The sequence below is a fragment of the Homo sapiens genome, chromosome 5 (genome assembly GCF_000001405.40).
Source record: "Homo sapiens chromosome 5, GRCh38.p14 Primary Assembly".
NCBI lineage: Eukaryota > Metazoa > Chordata > Mammalia > Primates > Hominidae > Homo > Homo sapiens.
In genome coordinates, this window is record NC_000005.10 from 177330653 (window position 1) to 177352258 (window position 21606).

Consider the following 21606-nt stretch of genomic DNA (forward strand, 5'->3'; position numbering starts at 1 on the left):
GAAAGCAGCACAAACTCGAACCTCTCAGTCACTGTGTGGAATCTCTAGACGTCTAACCTGTTGAAGGAGGAAACACAGAGGACACGAGAGGCGGGTGACAGTGGACCAGTGAAGAGCTCTGGAGAATGAGAGACAGAGGGTAAAGTCCTTACTCTCACTCATGTCTCTCTATATTTTTTGCAATGATAATCTGTTTGATAGTGTTAATTACCAAAAGCCTGGCTGCTGAAAGGAGGGACGGCTGGCTTCTAAGGTGGGAGATTCAAATGCAACTGAACGGGGAGTGGGAAGGGGACGAGGAAGACAAGATCATCGGCTCAGCAAGGTGTCCAAGGAGGGCTAGAGTTGGGATCAGAGCCAGAGGGGTGGCTTGGGACGGGACGGGACATGCTGCTCCACGGCGCGAGGTGGAGGCAGCCACAGCTGGGGGCGACGATTATGGAAGCTGCCGGGGGTGGTGCCATGCCTTCAGCTGCTGCCTTTCCTCCACTCCCCGTTATCATCTTTGTCCCCTGAGGTGCCCCAAAGGGACTGCCACAACCACCCCCACCATCCTCCAGCCCCTTGCACATCATCCCAGAGCCCCCCGGAGTTCCCCGTCAGTGTACCCGCCTGCCCAGCCAAGCCTCCACGTGGTGCCCCTTACCACCCATCCTTTTACCCAGAGGCCCAGAGCATGTGGGAGACAGCACAGGGCCCCATCCCCAAAACATCACTTGCCAGGTGACACTGGGCAAGCTGTACTTGACCTCTGAGAGCCGTGTGTCCCCAGCTGGGAAACAGGGCAACCCATCCCATCCTCCGGGACTCTGCAGGTCAGAGCAGACGAGCTGAAAGCTCTAAAGCACTGGCGGGCTGGAAGTCATTAGAAGAGAAAGCAAAGCAAGCCCCTCAGGACAGTCACACGGCTGAGGTTGGGTATTTCACTTTATTTAGCAAACGGTCACACTCGGCCCCACCACACCGCGCCTGCAGCCTCACTTGAGCATCTGTCTCAGGAAGCAGCTCAGGGTGAACAGGAAGGCCTGGGTTTCCCAGTTCAGGCCTTATCCGTCGCCACACGTGCCACACACCACAAAACAAAATCACTTCCCCACGTCCTCAGGAGCCCACCCCAGTGTGGTCCGGGGGACCCTCCAGTGTTCAACAGCTGCCTGCAGGGGCCACAGCCCATCTGTAGACACAGACCCCTGCTCCTGAGACACCAGCCCCAGGAGAGCCTCCGTCTCCAGCTGTGGGGGGTGCCAGACCCTAAGCCTCGGCTCTGCCACCTGTCCCTGCTGGGCAAGAAGCAAAATGTATGAAAATACTTTAATCATTTATTTGAAACAGTTAAGAAATAAGGTCATCTTGTTGTTCTTTTATAATCCCGGTAAAAAAAAAAGTTCACATTGGCTCCTGGGCCCAGGGACAGGCCCCGCCGGAGGCGCCACTCAGTAGAAGCGCTTGTTCCGCTCCTGCCGCTTCTGGAACACCACGGCCCCCACCACGGCGCAGACAACGATGCCCAGGAGAGCGCACAGCAGCAGCAGGAACACCCGCCACCCCGTCAGGGGCCCGCTGCGGAAGTTCCCCGTGGGGTCGTCCACGTTGTCTGGGGGAGAAGAAACGGGGGAGCTGAAACGGCAGCACGGGCCGGGGATCAGGGGGCTGCAGGAGGGCAGTGGGGATGGAACAGGACAGCCGGCCACGGTGGGCAGGCCGGTCGTACTCACCCCCCTCACCGGGGAGGGGCAGAGGTCAGGTGAAGCCCATCCCAGCCAGCTCTGCAGTCCCCAGGGCAGGGTGGGGCAGAGAGAGGACCAAGCCCACAGGGACCCGGGACCCCAGCGACAAGCCTGGGCTGCCTTCTGCTGCAGGAAGCCAGTTAAAACCAGACTCCTGGGCTCCTCTGAGTCCAACTCTGGATAAGGGGAGGCCCAGGAGTCTACATATCCAAGCCCCACCCCCACGCTGTGGTCTGAGGGCCCTTTCTGGAGCAGCGCGGCCCTGGTCACAGGCTCTCCCAGCCCACAGCTGGATGCTCTCGGCAGCCCCCCAGGAGGGTCTCCCAGGACCTGAGTCCCACACTCCACCCCAGCCCACAGCCTCTCTCCTCCACACAAGGTTCCCACAGGTCCTGCCCATCCTGGGATGGGGCCCACTGGTACGCTCCCTTGTACAGGCGGAGAGAAGACACTGACTTTCCCAAGCTCTCCAGGCTGTGGGTGGAGGAGCTGGGGTCTGGCTGGGCCCTGTTTCTGCCACTCTGCCTCCCTCCCTGACTGCGGCCCCCCCGACTCCACACTGTACAGTCTCCTCAGGCGTCCCCACACCCAGGCCTCGGGCCCAGGCCCTGCCTTTCAGCGACGTGCATGCCACCCTCTTGCCAGCCACAAGCCAACCTCCATCCTCCCTTCCTGCACAAGCTGCCACCAGCAGGCCTGCTGACCACTCTCGCCCCAGCCTCTGCTCTGCACACCGACAGCAGCGGCCACTGACCGAACGCGGAGGTCCCTAGGGATGGTGCTTCCCCAGAAAGCCACTCAGCCTCAGGGCTCTCACAGCTCCCTCTGTCTCCCTGTCTGCCGCAGACCCTAGAATGAGCCCCAGGGGCAGGGCCTGCCTGATCTCGTGTCTCCAGCACCCAGCCCATGGCTAGGCACAGAGGGCAGCTTTGGTCACATCTGAAGGAACAAATGGATTGAATCTAAAAACGAGTTCATCCTGCCTTGCCAGCTGCACGGGATGCTGGGTGGGCAAGGCAGGTGCCACCTCTGCAAACACCCAGCAGCTGGCAGCCTTCTGACCAAAGGTTGCAGCAAGGTTTGTGTGGTCCCCAAAACATTTCAAAATAATCTGAATCTTTAAAAAGTGAACTGTCACATAAAACACTGGATCTTGGCTTCTCCTGAAAAGCAGAAACACGCGGCCAAACTGGCCCACACGGCATGGGGACCCAGGGCTGGGCTACGACAGAGCCCGCGCCGTGCACTTCTGTCACTGGCTGGACCCCCAGGCACACATCTGTGGCTCTTAGGGTGGACTTCTCCACACACAGATGCCTCATTCCTCCAACCACAACGTTCACTCTGTGAGGAAAGGGGTAGCTAATTAGTGCCATGGGAAGAACCCAGGCTTCGGGTTTTGTAGAAACCCAATTTCCAATCTTGCTCTCTCTCTCCTTCTAGCTAAGGAATCCACCCCCTTGACCAGCAGCACGACTTCTTCCAGGTGGCTCACAGAAGGGACAGGTGGGCCAACATACCCAGCCCCCTGGCTCTGCTGGCCACTGCCCCAGCACCTAGTGAGGGAGGATGCTGGCCCACCACTCACACGTTTGTTGATCAGCCACTGCTTGCTGCCACAGCACTCACGTGACTAGGATGTCCTCAGGGACTGACTCTCTGCAGACTTCTCTTCCGCCTCATTCATTTACTCAAAAACTTGCCAGAGCTGACACGATCCAAGCCCAATACTCTAGGAGCTCGGACAGGGCCAGCCAGTGCCGCTTGCCAGGACCGGGCTGATCCAAGAGCCCAGACCACAACCACCACAACCACGACTGGACCACAAGACCCGCCAGGCTGGCTTCACCCCATTCTGGGTCAGGCCGCCCAGGCCCAGGCAGGGCGGGGCTGTGCACACGCACCTTTGGGCGACTTGAGGAAGTTGACGCTGGGCTCGATCTTGGTCCAGTCGATGCTCTCCTCGTCGGGCGTGTGCTCCACCATCAGCTGGAACAGCTTCATGGAGATGATGTCATGATTGTCTGCAGGACCAAGAATAAACCTGTGACAGCCTACAGGCCAGCCGCAGGGCACGTGGCCCAAGACCCTCCCACAAGGAAAGCTGCTGCTGCAGCCAGTAAACCTGCCAGGCCCCTGGGGAGAGCACTGCCCAGCCGGCTAGGGCCTGTTTTCTTCCCAGCTCCCTCCAGTCACCAGCAATAAAAAAGAGAGGAGGCAGAGTGGAGAGAAAACAGTAAGGGCTTTACAAGCAGAATCATCTGGGTCTAAATCCTGGGGTCTGCCGCCCTCTTTGAGGCTCATGTTCCGCACATGTAGAGGAGTGATGATCTCCATCTGTGTGGTTGCCATGGCAAGTACATGAGAAGGGTCTACACCACACAGAAGATGGCCTGCCTGCAGAATAAGTGCTCAAAAACAGACCCGGGAAAGACCAACAGTCGCTGTGTGACTGGCTGAGAAGGCTGAGGTCCCAAGGGCAGGAGCCACCAGACATTCTTGCCACAGAGACCCACATACAGGCTGCAGGGGAACAACTCGGCAACCAGCTAAGGGCCTGAGCCTAACGCAGGTCAGCAGCTGTGCCTGAGGAGACTGGGGAAAGGCTCTGTCCAATGGCATGCACAGGGAAGAGCCCTGGCTTGACGCTGATGGATCACCCAATTGTAGAGATGAGGAGGCTGAGGCTCAAAGCCGACACGTGGGTCCTGGTCAGCCTGGGACTGGAATCTGAGGAAAGGCCTTGTTGAAGGGAGCAGGAATCTCTGGAGCCAAGGGGGGACCTAATGAGCAAGAGCTCGGCCAGGCACACAGTGTGAGAGCCGAGCATGCACAGCCCTTGGAGACGGCGAGCGGCCCTGCAGGACAAGGACCGGCCCTGGAGTCAGGCCCCAGTTCCCATCTGGGCTCTGCTGCTTCCTGCTCGTATCTTAGGAAAAATCCTTTCAGTTTTCAAACTCCCAATGGTTGAGTAAAAAGGGAACGAGATGGCCATCTGCCTAAAAATACATCAGGTGACATCACCCGTAAGGTGCCTGGCACTGATGACCCCTGACCAGTGGTCAGACACGGCTCCCCTCATGGTGCCTCCTCCACTCTGTGCTGGGCTCTCCCAACAGCTGTGAGAGCTGCCACCGGCCACAGCACTGGTGCTGCTCTGCTCCTATCAAGAACCCTCCAAAGACAAGGGCTGAAACAGTGTGATGAAGTTCCAGGCAACCCGGGGCAGGAGGGAAACCAGCCAGGCGCGAGCTGGAAATGATGAAAGCTGGTTGGCAGGAAGGGTGCTTACCAGACCTCTCTCCTCTGCTGGGTATGTGACTGAAAAACCCCCAAACAATGGATGTTCTGGGGTCTGAGCGGACCCAAGCACTTCCATGCTGAGAGAGGAGGCTCCTGGGCAGTGGGCAGACTACAGGCCCTGGAATGGGTCATCCTGAGGATAAACCGCCCATGTCAGGTCCCCCGTGTCACGTGCCAGTTCTGGTCAGGAGCTGGCCCTGGGCCTGGCACCTGCTCAGGGCCCCAAAGAGAAACCGAGAACCACAGCCAAGGGCCACCACGGCCTGGTGACCAGTGAGGCCTGAGCAGGTTAGAGGCACCCCAGTGCTCGCTGAGCACCTGCCCTGGGCCAAACAGCCATTTATAGAGCTTACAATTGAGCAGGAGGGCCAGAGACAATAAAATTAATTACTCGGTAGACTCAAAGATGGTAAATATTATGAAGAAAAATAAAGCCAGCAAAGATGCTGGGGAGTGGGCTGGGGACACAGGAGGGGGCACGACATTCCACGAGGGCATCAGGGAAGGCCGCACTGAGGAGGTAACATCTGAGCAAGGCCCTAGGAGACAAGGGTGAAACAGCCGGGGCAGGAGGGCACAGGCGCATCCAGGCAGCAGCTGGAAGCCACAGTAGGCAGGGGGAGCAGTGAGCAGGGAGCCAGAGGTGGCAGGGCTGGCACAGAGGCCCTGGCGCCCCCTGCAGAGCTCTGCGCAGAGCAGCAGGAGGCCTCACACGGGCTGAAGGCGATTACTGAAGGCGATTACACGGCTGCTGTGCTCACGAGAGACTGTTGGGGGCTGGTGAAGGAGGGGACCACTTGGGAGACTCCTGTGAGAGACACTGGTGGCCTGAAGCCGCCAGGTAGTCAGGGAGGGGAGGGAAGTGGTGAGACGTGCTGTGAAAATAAAGCCACAGGGACTGTTGATGGACCAGAGGTGCCATGTGAGAGAAAGAAGGGTCCGGAAAGACAGCAAGCAAATAGAGGGGCACAGGTGCCACTGACATCCCGATGGGCAAGATGTGGCCTCAGCTGTGGGCACAAGGGCTGAGCAGGTCCAGAGCGGTCTGGGCTGGAGATAAATCTGGGAATCTACATTGCCCAAATCTAACTGACCCGCTGCCTCCTGTTGATGGGGAAGGTTGCCAAGGGACCGTTCAAGGCCTGAGGCCCGGACAGGCCATTTACAGAAGAAAGGAGGAGGAGGAACACAGCCAGGTGAGCTCAGAAACCACAGGAACTGAGGCCCGGACAGGCCATTTACAGAAGAAAGGAGGAGGAGGAACACAGCCAGGTGAGCCCAGAAACCACAGGAACTGAGGCCCGGACAGGCCATTTACAGAAGAAAGGAGGAGGAGGAACACAGCCAGGTGAGCTCAGAAACCACATGAAGGCAGGCAATCAACTGCATGGAAAGCTCCCAGTCCCTCAGGGTGAGCTGGGCTGGGAACCAACGCCTGGCCCGGCCCACTCACCAGACAGGTCGCCGGTGCCGGCGGAGGCCCCGAAGTAGTAGCCGGTGGGCAGGCGCACTCCCGTGATGTCAATGCAGTTCTTCCACTCGTTCTTGTCCTCCAGGTCGGTCATCACCTGCAGGGCCCAGCACGCTAAGCACCTCGCAGGACAGCAGCCTGCCCTCCTGAGCCTCTGTGGGACCAGCACAGGGCCACCAGCTGCCACCCCCACCGCCTAGCCTGCTCACCGTCAGACGGCCCCGGGAGTAGCGCACAGCCAGGAAGGTGTCGTGATCGCGGTTGCGGAAGTCAGCCGTGCAGCCCGCCAGCTCGGTCCAGCGCCCATCCTTGCTGTGGTCGTAGGACAGGGAGCCATTGTTCACCATCACCGAGATGTACGGGAACACGCGCTGGGACCAAGACATCGGTTACTCCACAAGCAGCCCAGCCTGTGGGGCGAGCAGGGGCACCCACCACCCCAATCCCTGGAGGCTCCTCTTGTGCTGGGACCATGGAAGTCCCAGGGCCCCCTCCTCTAGCCGACTGCCCAGTCCTTCCTTTCCTGCTCAGCAGGATAGAGCAGGGGCCTACCTCAGTGGTCTCATCATTGGGGTAGGTGTCCAGGAAGATGGCTAAGCCGTGGAAGTTATCTTTGCTTCCAAACACAGGCCCTAGAATTATAAGCAGATGCTCTCAGAATGGGAGAAACAGGAGCCGTCCCATGGGTACCTAAAAGGCAAGCAATGCCAACATGGGTGGGGGCAAGAGAGCCCAACCCACTGGCCATTCACCGAGAGAGAAGGGATCGTGAAAGGAGAAAGCTGAGGCTTTCTCCTCAGAAGTGGGGGGTCTAGGCATATGACACAGAGGACTCAAGTTTGAAGGCTGAACTGTGAGGGGACTGAGGCAGATGTCAGGTGTCAAGGGGGTACCTGGCCTACAAAAAACAGTGAGCCACAGGACAGCCCTACCCAGGAGGCTCTACCCTCTATACTAGGGGCAGCAAACATTCTGTGAAGAGCCACCAAGGAAACACCTCAGGGTCTGTGGGCCACATGCAGTCACAGCCACACAGTCTTCATGTTTTGGCTTTTTTACAACAATAACTGTTTAAAATGGTAAAACCAGGCCAATGAGGGTGTAGGGTTGAGCTGCAGGACCCAGCTGCTCCTCTCCCCTCAGTGACCTTCCTTCCAGAGCCAGGCTCCTTCCGGAGGCGCAGGACTTTATCCACGGGAGGCAGCACTTTCCTAACAGGAGAGGAGACGCTGGTCCCCACGAGCCACAGGCAGCCCCACCCCACCTCCCTAGGGGGCCAGCAGCCATGCCCGTGCCCACCCCCACAGGGCCCAGCTGAGCGAACACCAGCCCACCTGGCACGAGGCGGTCCCGGGTGTACCACAAGGCGATGCCGTCTCCATGGAGGTTCTTCTTCCCTGTGCCGTGGACTTTGAAGTGGACGTGCATTTCCCAGTCTTTGAGGAAGCACGGCTGGAGGGAGAGCAGAATGGGCTGCTCAGAGCTCCCCAGGGCCTTCCAGCAAGCTGGAGGCAACCCCAGCACGGCCCCTGCCCCACAGACCTCTCTTCTCTCCCCAGCTAAGACTGGGCACTCCTTGGCACAGGGCCACAAGTGCCACTGACCACAGACCCCTAAATGTTCTGGCCGTGAAGGGAAGAGACTGTTGGGCACCAGGTGAGGTGGGGGAGGCCAGTGTTCCAAGGCTGCCTGAGGCCCAGACCCCGCCAGCAGACCTCAGGCTGCTCCTGAGTAGGTTTAGGTGGCTGCCACACTGTTCACCCTCATTACCAGCCAAACCCACCAGCCATTTCCTCTCCATCCACTGCTCTTGCCCTGGAACCTTCTGCAGACGTTACAACTCCTATTTGAGCAAAGTATTTTACAGGAAAACAAATTCAGAGGTGTAACAACTTGTCCAGAGCAGCTCAGTGGACTGTCTGGACTCACGCGCAGGGCTTTCTGACTCCGAGAGCTCTGCTCAGCGGACTGTCTGGATTCACATGCAGGGTTTTCTGACTCCGAGAGCTCTGCTCTGCCTTCAGTACTTCCCGCGGCCTGCAGGCCTTTCACATAAATTGCACCAGCCCCTTTCTGGTCACCCACATCCACTGCCACATCCACCCTGCTAACCAACCTTCCCAAGTGAGGAAAATCAGGCCGGGTCAGTGCTGCTGGCCTCAAGCCCAGGTCTGGCTGACTCCAAAACCCAGCCCTTCACCAGTTCACCTCCCCAGCCCAGCCTAAGTGTGGTACCAGCGCTGGGGATGAGAGCTGGTCAGGGTCGTGCTCTGGGACTCAAGGGCACCACCATGTGAGCTGGGGCAGGGATGGGCACCGCCTACGCCAAGGGAGAAAGCCTTGCCTTAGGCATCAGGAAGTCGCTTGTGAAAACTAAGGTGTCAACACACACGGTGACAAGAATCCACTTTCAGGAAGTCTGCAGATGGGTATGTAAGCAAGTGATTAAACAAAGACCCATCACAAAGGCAAACCCAAACAGGATGTTGACCTGTCAGACTGGCAACTGTGAAAAAGACCATTAACGTCCAATGCAGATGAGCATGAAGAGAAATGAATACAGGAGTAAAGGAACATGAACCAGTATTAATGATGGGTAATTCTGGGAGGGGGATTATGGCGACTGTTTACCATGTTTGAATAATGTATAATAAACATATTACTTCTGTGATCACAGAAAAATAAAAAACACTGTACCCCAATTTGAGCAATATGCTTCATGCATTCATTGATGCCACAGACTCACTGCTCCCACTCTGGGCACCAGGAACCCAGATAACAAAACCTAGGCCGAGTCCCCGAGAGCACAAAAGAATGGAAGATATAGAATTGTGGGTAAGAGACAGAGGAAACAGTGAGAGAGGCTAAGACTCATATAATTGGGATTCCCGAGTAAGATGTGAGAAATGAAGGCAAAGGAATATTTAAAGACGTCTAAGCACTTACTAAAACTGATTCAAAGACACGCCACAAACTTGAAAAGTCCTACAAACCAAAGGAGATGACTAAAAAGAAAACCATATTTAGGCACAAAAAAAGAAGGGAGGGATAGAGGAAACAGCAACAACAACAAAAAAGTTTTTTTTAACATGAAACTATTTTTTTCTAATTTTTTTCCCCGTGGTACAGCCCCAGGCAATCCTGAGAACGTGTGCCACAAAAGCATTTTTTCTTTCTTTTCAATTTCAACTTTTATTTTAGATACAGGGGCTACATGTGCAGGTTACATGGGTATACTGCACCCAGGCAGGGAGAACAGTACCCAATAGGTAGTTTTTCAACCCACGTCCTCCCCCATCTAGTCTGGAGTGTCTATTGTTCTCCTTAAAAACAGAGAATCTTGGCCGGGTGCAGTGGCTCACGCCTGTAATCTCAGCACTTTGGGAGGCTGAGGCAGGTGGATCACTTGAGGTTGAGGCCAGCCTGGCCAACATGGTGAAACCCCGTCTCTACTAAAAATACAAAAATTAGCCAGGCGTGGTGGTACATGCCTGTAATTCCAGCTACTTGGGAGGCTGAGGCGGGAGAACTGCTTGAATCTGGGAGGTGGAGGTTGCAGTGAGCCGAGATTGTGCCACTGCATTCCAGCCTGGGCAACAGAGTGAGACTCTTTCTCAAAAAAAATCAGACTCACTCTGTCGCCCAGGCTGGAGTGCAGTGGCACAATCTCTGCTCACTGCGAGCTCTGCCTCCCGGGTTCACGCCATTCTCCTGCCTCAGCCTCCCCAGTAGTTGGGACTACAGGCGCCCGCCACCACACCCGGCTAATTTTTTTGTATTTTTAGTAGAGACAGGGTTTCACCGTGTTAGCCAGGATGGTCACGATCTCCTGACCTTGTGATCCGCCCACCTCAGCCTCCCAAAGTGCTGAGATTACAGATGTGAGCCACCACGCCCAGCCTTTTTTTTTCTTTTTTTTTTTTTTTTTGTGAGACAGAGTTTCGCTCTTGTTGCCCAGGCTGGAGTGCAATGGCGTGATCTTGGCTCACTGCAACCTCTGCCTCCTGGGTTCAAGCGATTCTCCTGCCTCAGCCTCCTGAGGAGCTGGGATTACAGGCATGCGCCACTACGCCTGGCTAATTTTGTATTTTTAGTAGAGACGGGGTTTCTCCATGTTGGTCAGGCTGGTCTTGAACTCCCGACCTAAGGTGATCCGCCCGTCTCGGCCTCCCAAAGTGCTGGGATTACAGGCGTGAGCCACCGCGCCCGGCCATAAAAAAAATAATAATCTTAAAGAAAAAGGAACCAGAGGGAAAAAAGGCAATGACTCTCACAGGAGCAATAATCAGCCTGACACCCGGCTTCACGGCGGGAACAGCGGGAGCAAGAAGGCAGATGACTGATATGTTTGGAGATACAGGAAGGTAACAGCCAGCATGGGATTCTATACTCAGCAAATGTATCCTTCAAGAATGAAGGTAAAATAAAGATATTTTGAGACAAACAAACAAAAACCAAAAGAATTCATTAGCAGACTCACACTTTCATTCTTCAGGGAGAAAGAAAATGATCCCCATCCAGATGTAAAGTCAGATTCCAGAAGGAACGAAGAACAACAAATACAGTGACTATAAGGGTGAAAATCTAAATATCTGACTGCACAAAACAATGGGTTGTGTGATTTAAAACAGAAATAATTAAAACAAATGACAACAATAAATGGAGTTAAAGTGTGTTAGGATCCTTGCACTGTCCAGGAAGAAGGTAAAGTACACATTATCATTAGTCTTTGGTACAACATGAATGCCTGCTTTAAATTCTAGGGTGACCACTTAAAACTGAGAAAAGAGCATATAACTTTCAAGCTAATAGAAGAGGAAAAATAGGATAATAAAAATTAACCTAAAAGAAGACTAGAGAGAAAAATGAACAGAGAATAGGCAATTTGAATATATAGAGTAAGATAGCAGATTAAACCCAAATGTATCATATTTCATTAAATGTAAATGGACTAAATGCTAAATAAAAAAACAAAACCCAAGGGCACCTAGGATCTCTGTATTATTTCCTGCAACGGCATGTGAATTTATAATTATGTCAAAATAAAAAGTTTAATTTGAAAAGTAAAGAGGCCAGGTGCAGTAGCTCATACCTGTAGTCCCAGCACCTTGGGAGGCCATCATGGGAGGTTTGCTTGAGCCAAGGAGTTCAAGACCAGCCTGGGCAACACAGCAAGACTCCATCTCTATAAAAAAAAATAATAATAAGTATATAAAGATCAGAGATCTAAACTTAAGAGCTCAAACCTGGCCGGTTGCAGTGGCTCACACCTGTAATCTGAAACACTTTGGGAGGCTGAGGCAGGTGGATCACCAGAGCGCAGAAGTTCAAGACTAGCCCAGGCAACACGGTGAAAACCTGTCTCTACAAAAAAATACAAAAATTAGCTGGGCCTGACTGCGCATGCCTGTAGTCCCAGCTACTTGTGGGGCTGAGGCAGGAGGATCACTTGAGCTGGAGAGGTCAAGGCTGCAGTGAGCCGTGTTCACGCCACTGCACTCCGGCCTAGGCAATAAAATGAGACCCTGCCTCAAAAAACAATAAACAAACCAACAAAAAAACCCTTTAAAACTCTTAGAAGAAAATCTAGGGAAAAAATGTTCATGACACTGGATTTAGTAAAGATTTCTTGGATATAGCACCAAAAGCACAGACAAAAAAAAAAAAAAGATAAATTGTACTTCACTAAAACTAAAATTTTTGTACATCAAAGAGCATGATCAAGAGGGTGAAAAGACAACCCACAGAATAGGAGAAAATATTTGCAAATCACATATCTGATAAGGGATTAATATCTAGAATATATTAAAAAACCCTAGGCCGGGCGCGGTGGCTCATGCCTGTAGTCCCAGCACTTTGGGAGGCCAAGGCGGGCAGATCACGAGGTCAAGAGATGGAGACCGTCCTGGCTAACACGGTGAAACCCTGTCTCTACTAAAAATATTAAAAAAATTAACTGGGCATGGTGGCAGGCACCTGTAGTCCCAGCTATTCGGGAGGCTGAGGCAGGAAAATCACTTGAACCCGGGAGGCAGAGGTTCCAGCGAGCCGAGATCGCGCCACTGCACTCCAGCCTGGCGACAGGGCGAGACTTCATCTCAATAAATAAATAAATAATAACAAATGTTGGCAAGGATGTGGAGAAATTGGAATCCTTGTGCATTGCTGGTGGGAATATAAAATGGTGCAGTTGCTACAGAAAACCGTTTGGTAGTCCTCAAAAAAGTAAAAATAGAATGACCGTATGATCCAGAGATTCTACTTCCTGGGTATATACCCAAAAGAACTGAAAGTAGGATTCAAACAGATACTTGTATACCAATGTTCACTGCAGCACTATTCACAATGGCAACAGATGGAAACAACCCAAGTGTCCATTACGAATAGATGAATACACGGAATGTGGTCTAGACACACACACACACACACACACACACACACGAATATTACTCAGCAACAAAAAGGAATGCAGTACTGACATATACTACAGTATGGAGGAACGTTCAACATATGCTCAGTAAAATAAGTCAAAGAAGACAAATATTGTATGCCTCCATTTATCATTTATGTGAGATGCCTAGAATAGTCAAATTTACAGAGATGAGGTAGAATGGTGGTTACCAGGGACTGTGGGGATGGGAGTGATTGTTAAATGGGTAGAGAGTTTCAGTTGGGATGAGCAAAGAGTTCTGGAGACAGACGGTGGTGATGGCTACACAGCAATGTGAATGCACTTAATGCCACTGACCTGTACACTTAAAAATGGTTAAAATGGGCCAGGCGCAGTAGCTCACGCCTGTAATCCCAGCACTTTGGGAGGCCAAGGCAGGAGGATTGCTTGAGGCCAGGAGTTCGAGACCAGCCCGGGGCAGCATAGTGAGACCCCAGCTCTACAAAAAATTAAAAAAAAAAAAATTAGCCAGGCACAATAGCACATGCCTTGTAATCCCAGCTACTCAGGACACTAAGCAGGAGGATCACTGGACTCCAGGAGTTCGAGGCTGCAATGAGCTAGGATTGCACCACTGCACTCCAGCCTCCGTGACAAAGTGAGACCCCCCCCATCTCTAAAAAAAAAAAAATTTTTTTTTAATTTTAAAAACTGGTTAAAATGGTACGCTTTGTTACTTTTTTTTTTTTTTTTTTTTTTGAGACAGAGTCTTGCTCTGTCGCCAGGGTGGAGTGCAGTGGCGTGATCTCAGCTCACTGCAACCTCTGCCTCCCTGGTTCAATTCTCCTGCCTCAGCCTCCTGAGTAGCTGGGATTACAGGAACACGCCACCATGACCAGCTAATTAGTTGTATTTTTAGTAGAGACGGGGTTTCACCATGTTGGCCAGGATGGTCTTGATCTCCTGACCTCGTGATCCACCTACCTCGGTCTCCCAAAGTGCTGGGATTATAGGCGTGAGCCACCGCGCCCAGCCTGTGTTACATACATTTTATCACAATAGAAATATTTGAGAAATTTGACCAGATGCAGTGGCTCACACCTGTAATCCCAGCACTTTGGGAGGCCGAGGCAGGCAGATCACCTGAGGTCAGGAGCTCAAGACCAAGCCTGGCCAACATGGTGAAACCTCGTCCTACTAAAAATACAAAAATTAGCCGGGTGCGGTGGCGGGCGCCTGTAGTCCCAGCTACTAGGGAGGCTGAGGCAGGAAAATCACTTGAACCCGGGAGGCAGAGGTTGTGGTGAGCCGAGATCGCGCCACTGCACTCCAGCCTGGGCAACAGAGTGAGACCCTGTCTCAAAAAAAGAAAAGAAAAGAAAAGAAGAGAAAGAAGAGAAGAGAAAAGAAAAGGAAGAAAGATTTGAGAAATTTTCTTGCATGTGCAGATGTGTACGTACAACAGTGGAAACATTTTTTTACATAGCCATGACATCTTTTAAATGCCATTGTCAGGCTGGGCGCAGTGGCTCATGCCTGTAATCCCAGCACTCTGGGAGGGCAAGGTGGGTGGACTGCTTGAGCCCAGAGTTCACGACCAGCCTAGTCAACATGGTGAAACCCTACTTCTACCAAAAAAAAAAAAAAAAAATTAGCCAGGCATGGTGGTGTGCGCCTGTAGTCCCAGCTACTCAGGAGGCTGAGGTGGGAGGATCACACCCAGGAGACCGAGGCTGCAGTGAGCCGTGATTACACCATTGCATTCCAGCCTAGGTGACAGATTAAGACCCTGTCTAAAAAAAAAAAAAAAAAAAAAAAGCCACTCTTTCAATGTCAATGTGTAGCCTACTGAAGAAAATAGTTTCATAAATTAATGGATTTAAAGGTAAAAAGGGTTAAAGTGGTAAATTTTATGTTATATGCATTTACAACATAAAAACAACACCCCTGAAGCCTAGTAATATACCATTTATAAGAGAAAACGCTAAAACATAAAGAAATGGGAAAAAGTAAAAGGACAGGAAAAATGTATCATGCAAACACTAACCAAAAGCAAGCTTCTGCTCCTTCAGGAAGACAGGGCCACAGGCGCTGCAGAGCTGTGGTCTGCCCGCTCCTGCTCCTGCCTCACCACTGTTTGCTCTGGCTGAGGAACAAGTTGGTCAGGAAGGCTCGCAGCAGCCATGGCATGCATTTATTTATTTATTTATTTATTTATTTATTTATTTATTTATTTATTTTTTGAGACAGTCTCGCTCTGTCGCCCAGGCTGGAGTGCAGTGGCATAATCTCAGCTCTCTGCTACTTCTGCCTCCCAGGTTCAAGCAATTCTCCTGCCTCAGCCTCCAGAGTAACTGGGACTACAAGCGCCCGCCACCACACCCAGCTAATTTTTGTATTTTTAATAGAGACGGGGTTTCACCGTGTTGGCCAGGATGGTCTCGAACTCCCGACCTCAGGTGATCTGCCTGCCTCGGCCTCCCAAAGTGCTGGGATTACAGGCGTGAGCCACCGCACCCGGCCCACCCACGGCTTTAAAGATACCTGAAGAAAACCTGCGGAGCCAGAGGTGACAATTCACTGAATCTGAATCACTTTAATGAGCTGCAACATAGAATCCCCAGAAAAGGTGTGTGCTGACTTGATCAGAGGAGCAAAGGAAAAGAATCTCAAAGTGAAAAGACCAGCTGGAACGCCTATCAAGGCTTCGAGAATCACCACAAGAAAAACTCCTTGTGAAGGTTCTAACACACGGGATCGTTTCCAGATGAGAATCCACAAGTGGCTCACTGACCTCCACAGTCCTTCTGAGATTAAGCAGATTACTTCCATCAGTATTGAGCCAGGAGTTGAGGTGGAAGTCACCATTGCAGATATTTAAAGTTGACTATTTTAATAAATTGATTACCGGTTGTTGTTTTTTTTTTAAAAAAAGCAAGCTTCTATAGCTATACCCATAACAAAATGTAAAAAGGGGTTCTTCTTAATGATAAAAGATTCCATTTACCTACAGATATAATAAATCTAAGTTTTTGTATGTACCTAATTTGGCCTCAAAACATATAAAACAGAAACTGACAGAACTACAAAGATGCAGACAAATCCATATACAGAAATTTTTTTAACACTTTTTTTTTTTTTGAGATGGGGTCTTACTATGCTGCCTGGGCTGGTTTTGAACTCCTTGACTCAAGCAATCCTCCTGCCTCAGCCTCCCCAGTAGCTGACACTTACAGGCACGTGTCACCTTGCCCAGCCATACACAGAAATTTTTAACAAAGCTCTCTTAGTAACTTATAAAAGCAAGCAGACAAAAACATGAGGAAAGCTAGAGAAGATCCGAACTCAATCTTAACCCTGGCTGCACAGCAGACCCACCTGGGAAGCTCAGAAAGCAAGTTTGACCTAAAGAACCTACGTGGCACACTGTAGTCAACAAGTAGAGAATCCACATTCATAAGCACAAACAGAACGCGTCCAAAAAATCTGACCATGATGCAATTCCATCAGCTATCTAACAATAATAAACAATTTTAAAAGATAACTAAAATAGCCCTCATATATTTGAAAACTTTAAAAAAAAATATCTCACATGTACAAAAGTCAGCCCAGAAACCAGATTTCAAATGGTCTCTTTGGTGCCCAGGAGTTTTCTGCACCTGGGGACAACACCCTGAAGAAAGACCAGGCTGTTGGGAGGCTGACCTCAGAGCAGAAGGGCAACTGAGTGAGGGAGGTGGGAAAGGAAAACCCACACACCCATTCCCAGCATGTTCACGGGGAGGCTGGTTTCAGGAATGAGCACATGAGACAGTGGAGGACCTGGAAACAGACTCCTCCAGGACTACGCAGGCCTTGGAAAGTCTTCATGACCCCAGATTAAAACTGCAGATTAGTAGAGACATACTATGATACAGACAATAGAAGGCCTCTGGAGGATCTTAAGCAGGCAAGGCACAGGCTGGAAATGATTCAGAAGCTGCTTTTGGGGACAAACACGATATGACCACAGTTCTTAACCCACAGCAAACCCACCTGGGGAGCTCAGAAAGCTTAATGCCTTGGTCCTACACCAGGCCAACTACATCAGAATCACCTGGCAATAAGAGGCTATTTTACAGTTCAGCAGTTTCCACATCTCTGCTTGCAACGAAACGGAATGCAGATGTAATCAACAGTCAGCCGAAACATCATCAAAAATTTTGATAAAAGATCACTGCATGACGTTGGGTTTATAAACCAAAAGAAGATCAAAATATTCAGTGATGCTGCTCTACCAAAACTCCCGCTGTGCCAGGCACAGTGGTGGTGAGCACCTGTGTCCCAGATACTCAGAGGCTGAGGTGGGAAGATTGCTTGAGTCCAAGAGTTCAAGATAAGACTGGGCAACATAGTAAGATCCCATCTATAATAGAAATTTAAAATTTTAAAAATAACCCCATCTCCAACTACTATTTAAGAGAACACAGTTTCTCAGAATTCATGTACATAAAAACAAAAAGTAGAAGTGGTACTGAACTTGTCTTATTCTGACAGTATTATCCATCCAGATGGGGGTGGGGGGTGACATCCTACTGAGATCTCATGTTTCAAAAAATGTTTACTTTTGTATAATTACTCAAAAACTGTGTAATGCATTTACTTTTATCAAGTGTGTACAGATAATTATAATAATCTCAAACAAAATATTAAAAGTTTCAGTCTCAACAAAATTGAAAAGTTTAAATTATTATATTAATTTTACTTGCAGAAGAATATGGTAGGCTAATGAATAACATTTTCAAGCATTAAATATATTGCATTAGGATAATATTCTGTGTGGAAATGAAAGTACAAGTTCAATTAAAAAACTGACATACTGGCCAGGCACAGTGGCTCACACCTGTAATCCTAGCACTTTGGGAGGCCGAGGTGGGCAGATCACTTGAGGCCAGGAGTCGGAGACCAGCCTCGCAAACATGGCAAAACCTCATCTCTACTAAAAATACAAAAAATTAGCTGGACATGGCAGTGCGCGCCTGTAATCCCAGCTACTGGGGAGGCTGAGGCAGAAGAATCGCTTGAACTCGTGAGGTGGAGGTTGCAGTGAGCTGAGATCGCACCACTGCATTCCAGCCTGGGTGATAGAGCATGACTCTGTCTCAAAAAAAAAAAAAAAAAAAAAAAAAACCTCTACTAAAAACACAAAAACTAGCTGGGCGTGGTGGTGCACACCTGTAATTCCAGCTACTCAGGGGGCTGAGGCAGGAGAATCACTTGAACCAGGAAGGCGGAAGTTGCAGTGAGCCGAGACTGCGCCACTGCCCTCCAGCCTGGGTGACAGAACAAGACTCCGTCTCAAAAAAAAAAAAAAAAAAAGTGGATATCAAATTGCAATATTTAGATTCCACTGAATGTTTAAAATACTGAACAGTTTTAGTTTAAAATGTCAATATTTAAAATATGCTGTCATCCTTTGCAAATACTTAAACCTAATGACAAACAATTTTTGATGCCAACTTTTCAAAAGGTTGCTACAACAGCAAAGAAAGCTTAAAGACCACTGCCGCAGCCTCCGCACAAGACCCCCAAAAGGACAGGGCCTGAGCAGCCTCCCCAGGTCCTATGCTGCAGCCACCAGGCACTTAAGAGTTCTAGTCAACTCTGAGCCACTCCTTCATCTAGACCACCCCCCCTGCACCACAGCAGGAGCTATTTTATGGCTGCTCAGAAGACAGCAGGTGTTCAGGGAATGTTCGCCTGAGTGCATGCCTCTCCCGGATGGAGTGAATGAAGGAGATAAAAAAGGGAAAAGTTTAGGAAGCATCTCTCCAGCTCATTAAAGGAAGAGGCAGTTCTTGGGAAACACTGAACAGAAAATTCTGATTTCCAAGCCATTTCTTTCCAGAGTTTACAGGAAGCACTCCAAATGTTTCAGGAATATCAGCAGAGCCAAATAGAAAGGTGGAGGAAGGAAGGCAAAACAATTGTACTCCAGACTGAAAATTCGATGAAGGCAAGTGCAGAAGCCTCTCAGTCCTGTGACATCCTCGAGCCACTGATGATGCCAACCATCAGCTATCTACAACCAAAATGTAAGCCACTGTCTTAGATGCGTCTATTACTTGTGGCTACTCCTGATTTCTACAGTTCCAGCACTGTTTGCACCTTGCTTTCAAAAAATAATAATAATGCTATACTGAACTCATTTCCATGAAAAATATAAGGCTGAATTATCATTTCTTTAAAATATCTGAAAGCCCTAAGACAGAATGTGACAGAATGTGACTCGGGGGAGATAGGGTGGTTAATGAAGAAATGTCTGCGTGGGTGGCACTTGAATTGAGACTTAACAGATGAGAAGGAACCAAGCAGGCATGAGGAGCCAGGAGGCAGTGTCCCAGACAGAGGGAACAACAGGTGCAAAGGTCCTGAGGCAAGAAGGCAGCCAGGGGGGGCTGGAACAAAATTAACACAGAGAATGACTGGAGATGCACAAGGGGCCAGATTGTGCAGACATAATGCATGCTTACCCCTTCACAGGGGACTCCACGCTCTGAGGATCAGACTGAAAGCTGAAGAAAGTATCCGCAGATGCCACTAACAGCAGTGTGGAGGCTCGGGGCAGGAAGGAGAGGAGGAGCAGAGGGGACGGGCAGACCAGGCAACACAAGGACAGTGTGGGTTCCCAGAACTAAACAAGAAAGTCAACCAGCAGGGATCAGAGAGCAGGGTGATGGAGAAAACTAGAACACTGGCCAACAGCTTAAGCCATGGGAAGGGCTGAGATTAGGCAAGCTGGGGCAGGAGCAGGTCCCGCTCCAAGCTGTAACCCAGCCCCAAATTATTCTTCTTTCCCCTTTTTCCTCACCTTGACTGCCTCAGTGTGGATTCTGTGTAGCAGCTGTCATTGGCCACTGCTCACATACTACATACTACATACTCTGAGGCAAAGGTCACAGACACTAGAACTGCCCACAGGTCCAGTCCCTCCACACTACTGATGACAAGACCCTCAACCAAGCATTGCAAAAAGGGTTCTAAGGGGTTCCTCCACTGTCCAGGTGAAAAGAGTCAAGTACATCGAGTGAACTGCTGGGCTTAGAGATCAGACAAATCAGAGTTTAAATACTGTTTATGACATTTGCTAGCTGGGTTATCTTTGTATAGTCATGAAAGCCATCTATTTCAAACAGCTTGTTTGAAAATTAAATGCAATAAGGCATGGCAAGGTCAGTGCCTAATACACAGCAAAACACCCAATAAAGATCCAGTTCGCTCGGTTCTTCCCATTACTGAGGGGGTTCAAGGCAGACAGCCTGACAGTTCCACTACTTTCTGGCTATGTAACTTTGGGTAAGGCCCTTTCAAACCTGAGTCTTAGCTTCTCAGTGGGTAAAATGGAGATAACATTACTCATCTCGCATGGCTTTTAAAGTGAGGAGGATGTAAAGTGTCAAGCGCAGCTCCTGACACATAGTAAGTACCCAATACCCATCGCCTCTTATTATTGGTGGGTGTGACCGAGATGAGGAAAAGGCCAGGGACGGAGGTGCAAACCTATAAACGAAGCTGGGGTCTCAGCTGCTCGGGAGGCAGGGACTAGCAGCCAACCGCACAGTACGCCTATCCTCTTGAGAACCACTCACCTGGTGGTTCCAGATAGAGCCCTCTTTGCTGCGCTCGTCAGGGGTCAGACGTACGTACTGGCTCGTGAGCATAGTGCTGCCCTGGAAGTCCCAGAGGGGCATAGAGCTGGAACCGACCCCTGTGGGAAGAGACAGGTGCTAAGAGGCCACGCCAGGACTGGCCTCACCAGAGGCAGGAAACCCACAGAGATGCTCTGCTCAGGAGAAAGGGCACGCCTTCCCCTAGCCCTGTTCAGCCTCGCCCTCACTCTTCACTCATTCCCGCCCCAAGGGCTTCACCTTGGTAGGGCTTAATGAGCGAATGCTCCCGCTTGAGATGTTCACTGTTGCCGTCAGTTATATCCGCAGTCACAGACCCCAACAACAAAAGAAGAAAGAGAGGTGTAGTGGGGCCAGGGCCGGGGCCGAGAAGCCCAGGCCTTCCCAGGCACCGCCGGCCCCAGCCCCAACGCCAAATCCAGCCTTCCGCCGCCATTCTCCTCTCCTCTCGGCCACTTCCGCCCTAGAACTTCCGCCTTCCGGGGGTCCCATCTATTGGCCTCCGGCCGGAAGCTCTTCAACTTTACTGTCGCCAGGGAGTCAAAAAGCAAAGCCTCCGCAGCAGACGGGGCGGCAGCTGCATTGGCCGGGCAGCCTCTCATCCTGGTTGAGTGCAGTTTCATCTCCTTAGAGGCTCCAAGGCACACGCCGGCCAGCCCCAGCAATGGGTTCTTTCGAGCGACAAGAGCTGTAACCAGTCACGGAACAGCACGTTAGGCTTGCGAGCCAATGAGGAGCAGAGGGATGGTTGGAGCCGGCGGGAGCGCGAGGGCCGTCCGCGACTCGGGGCATGCTGGAATTTGTAGTTTTTGTCGGTCGCTCTAATGGGGCGGATTCGCGAAGACTAGGACGTCTTGGGCTTCTGGCCGCAAGTCCCGTCTCTGGAATAACCTTTTCTAGTCCTGGAGAAAGGAGCTCTGAATTGAAGGCGGAGTCCTGCATTCCAACCCTTGTCCTCCCCGGGTGGCCCTGGGCAAGCCTTTAAGCCGTGCCTGCCGTCAGGCGCCCCAGCTTCGCGCCTTTGGAGACTCAGAATTCCCAATTATT

At 50.9% G+C, this 21606-nt stretch overlaps 1 protein-coding gene and 1 pseudogene across 1 annotated transcript, besides 5 other annotated features; one reads left to right on the plus strand and one right to left on the minus strand.

The window, feature by feature from the left end:
• Positions 1-914: 914 nt before the first annotated feature.
• LMAN2 (lectin, mannose binding 2) lies at positions 915-21016 on the minus strand. Its single transcript, NM_006816.3, has 8 exons — positions 20800-21016; positions 20521-20639; positions 7836-7953; positions 7054-7133; positions 6711-6872; positions 6484-6598; positions 3632-3751; positions 915-1594 (listed from the first exon to the last, which is right to left on the minus strand). The coding sequence occupies exons 1-8, from the start codon at positions 20993-20995 to the stop codon at positions 1434-1436; spliced, it is 1071 nt and encodes a 356-aa protein (NP_006807.1). The 5' UTR covers positions 20996-21016; the 3' UTR covers positions 915-1433.
• Positions 5371-5996: an enhancer, noted in NCBI's record as "H3K27ac-H3K4me1 hESC enhancer chr5:176763024-176763649 (GRCh37/hg19 assembly coordinates)". NCBI's record gives its function as "activates a minimal SCP1, AML or CMV promoter by ChIP-STARR-seq in primed H9 embryonic stem cells {active_cell/tissue: H9 hESC(primed)}" and the evidence as "EXISTENCE:reporter gene assay evidence [ECO:0000049][PMID:30033119]".
• Positions 8230-9183: an enhancer, noted in NCBI's record as "H3K27ac-H3K4me1 hESC enhancer chr5:176765883-176766836 (GRCh37/hg19 assembly coordinates)". NCBI's record gives its function as "activates a minimal SCP1, AML or CMV promoter by ChIP-STARR-seq in naive H9 embryonic stem cells {active_cell/tissue: H9 hESC(naive)}" and the evidence as "EXISTENCE:reporter gene assay evidence [ECO:0000049][PMID:30033119]".
• RPS20P17 (ribosomal protein S20 pseudogene 17) lies at positions 15416-15808 on the plus strand (annotated as a pseudogene).
• Positions 20957-21146: an enhancer, noted in NCBI's record as "active region_23706". NCBI's record gives its function as "activates an Ori minimal core promoter by ATAC-STARR-seq in GM12878 lymphoblastoid cells {active_cell/tissue: GM12878}" and the evidence as "EXISTENCE:reporter gene assay evidence [ECO:0000049][PMID:35858748]".
• Positions 21101-21315: a silencer, noted in NCBI's record as "fragment chr5:176778754-176778968 (GRCh37/hg19 assembly coordinates)". NCBI's record gives its function as "represses an EF-1alpha promoter that drives an FKBP-Casp9 reporter gene in an ReSE screen in phorbol 12-myristate 13-acetate-treated (for megakaryocytic differentiation) K562 erythroleukemia cells {active_cell/tissue: K562(+PMA)}" and the evidence as "EXISTENCE:reporter gene assay evidence [ECO:0000049][PMID:32094911]".
• Positions 21157-21206: an enhancer, noted in NCBI's record as "active region_23707". NCBI's record gives its function as "activates an Ori minimal core promoter by ATAC-STARR-seq in GM12878 lymphoblastoid cells {active_cell/tissue: GM12878}" and the evidence as "EXISTENCE:reporter gene assay evidence [ECO:0000049][PMID:35858748]".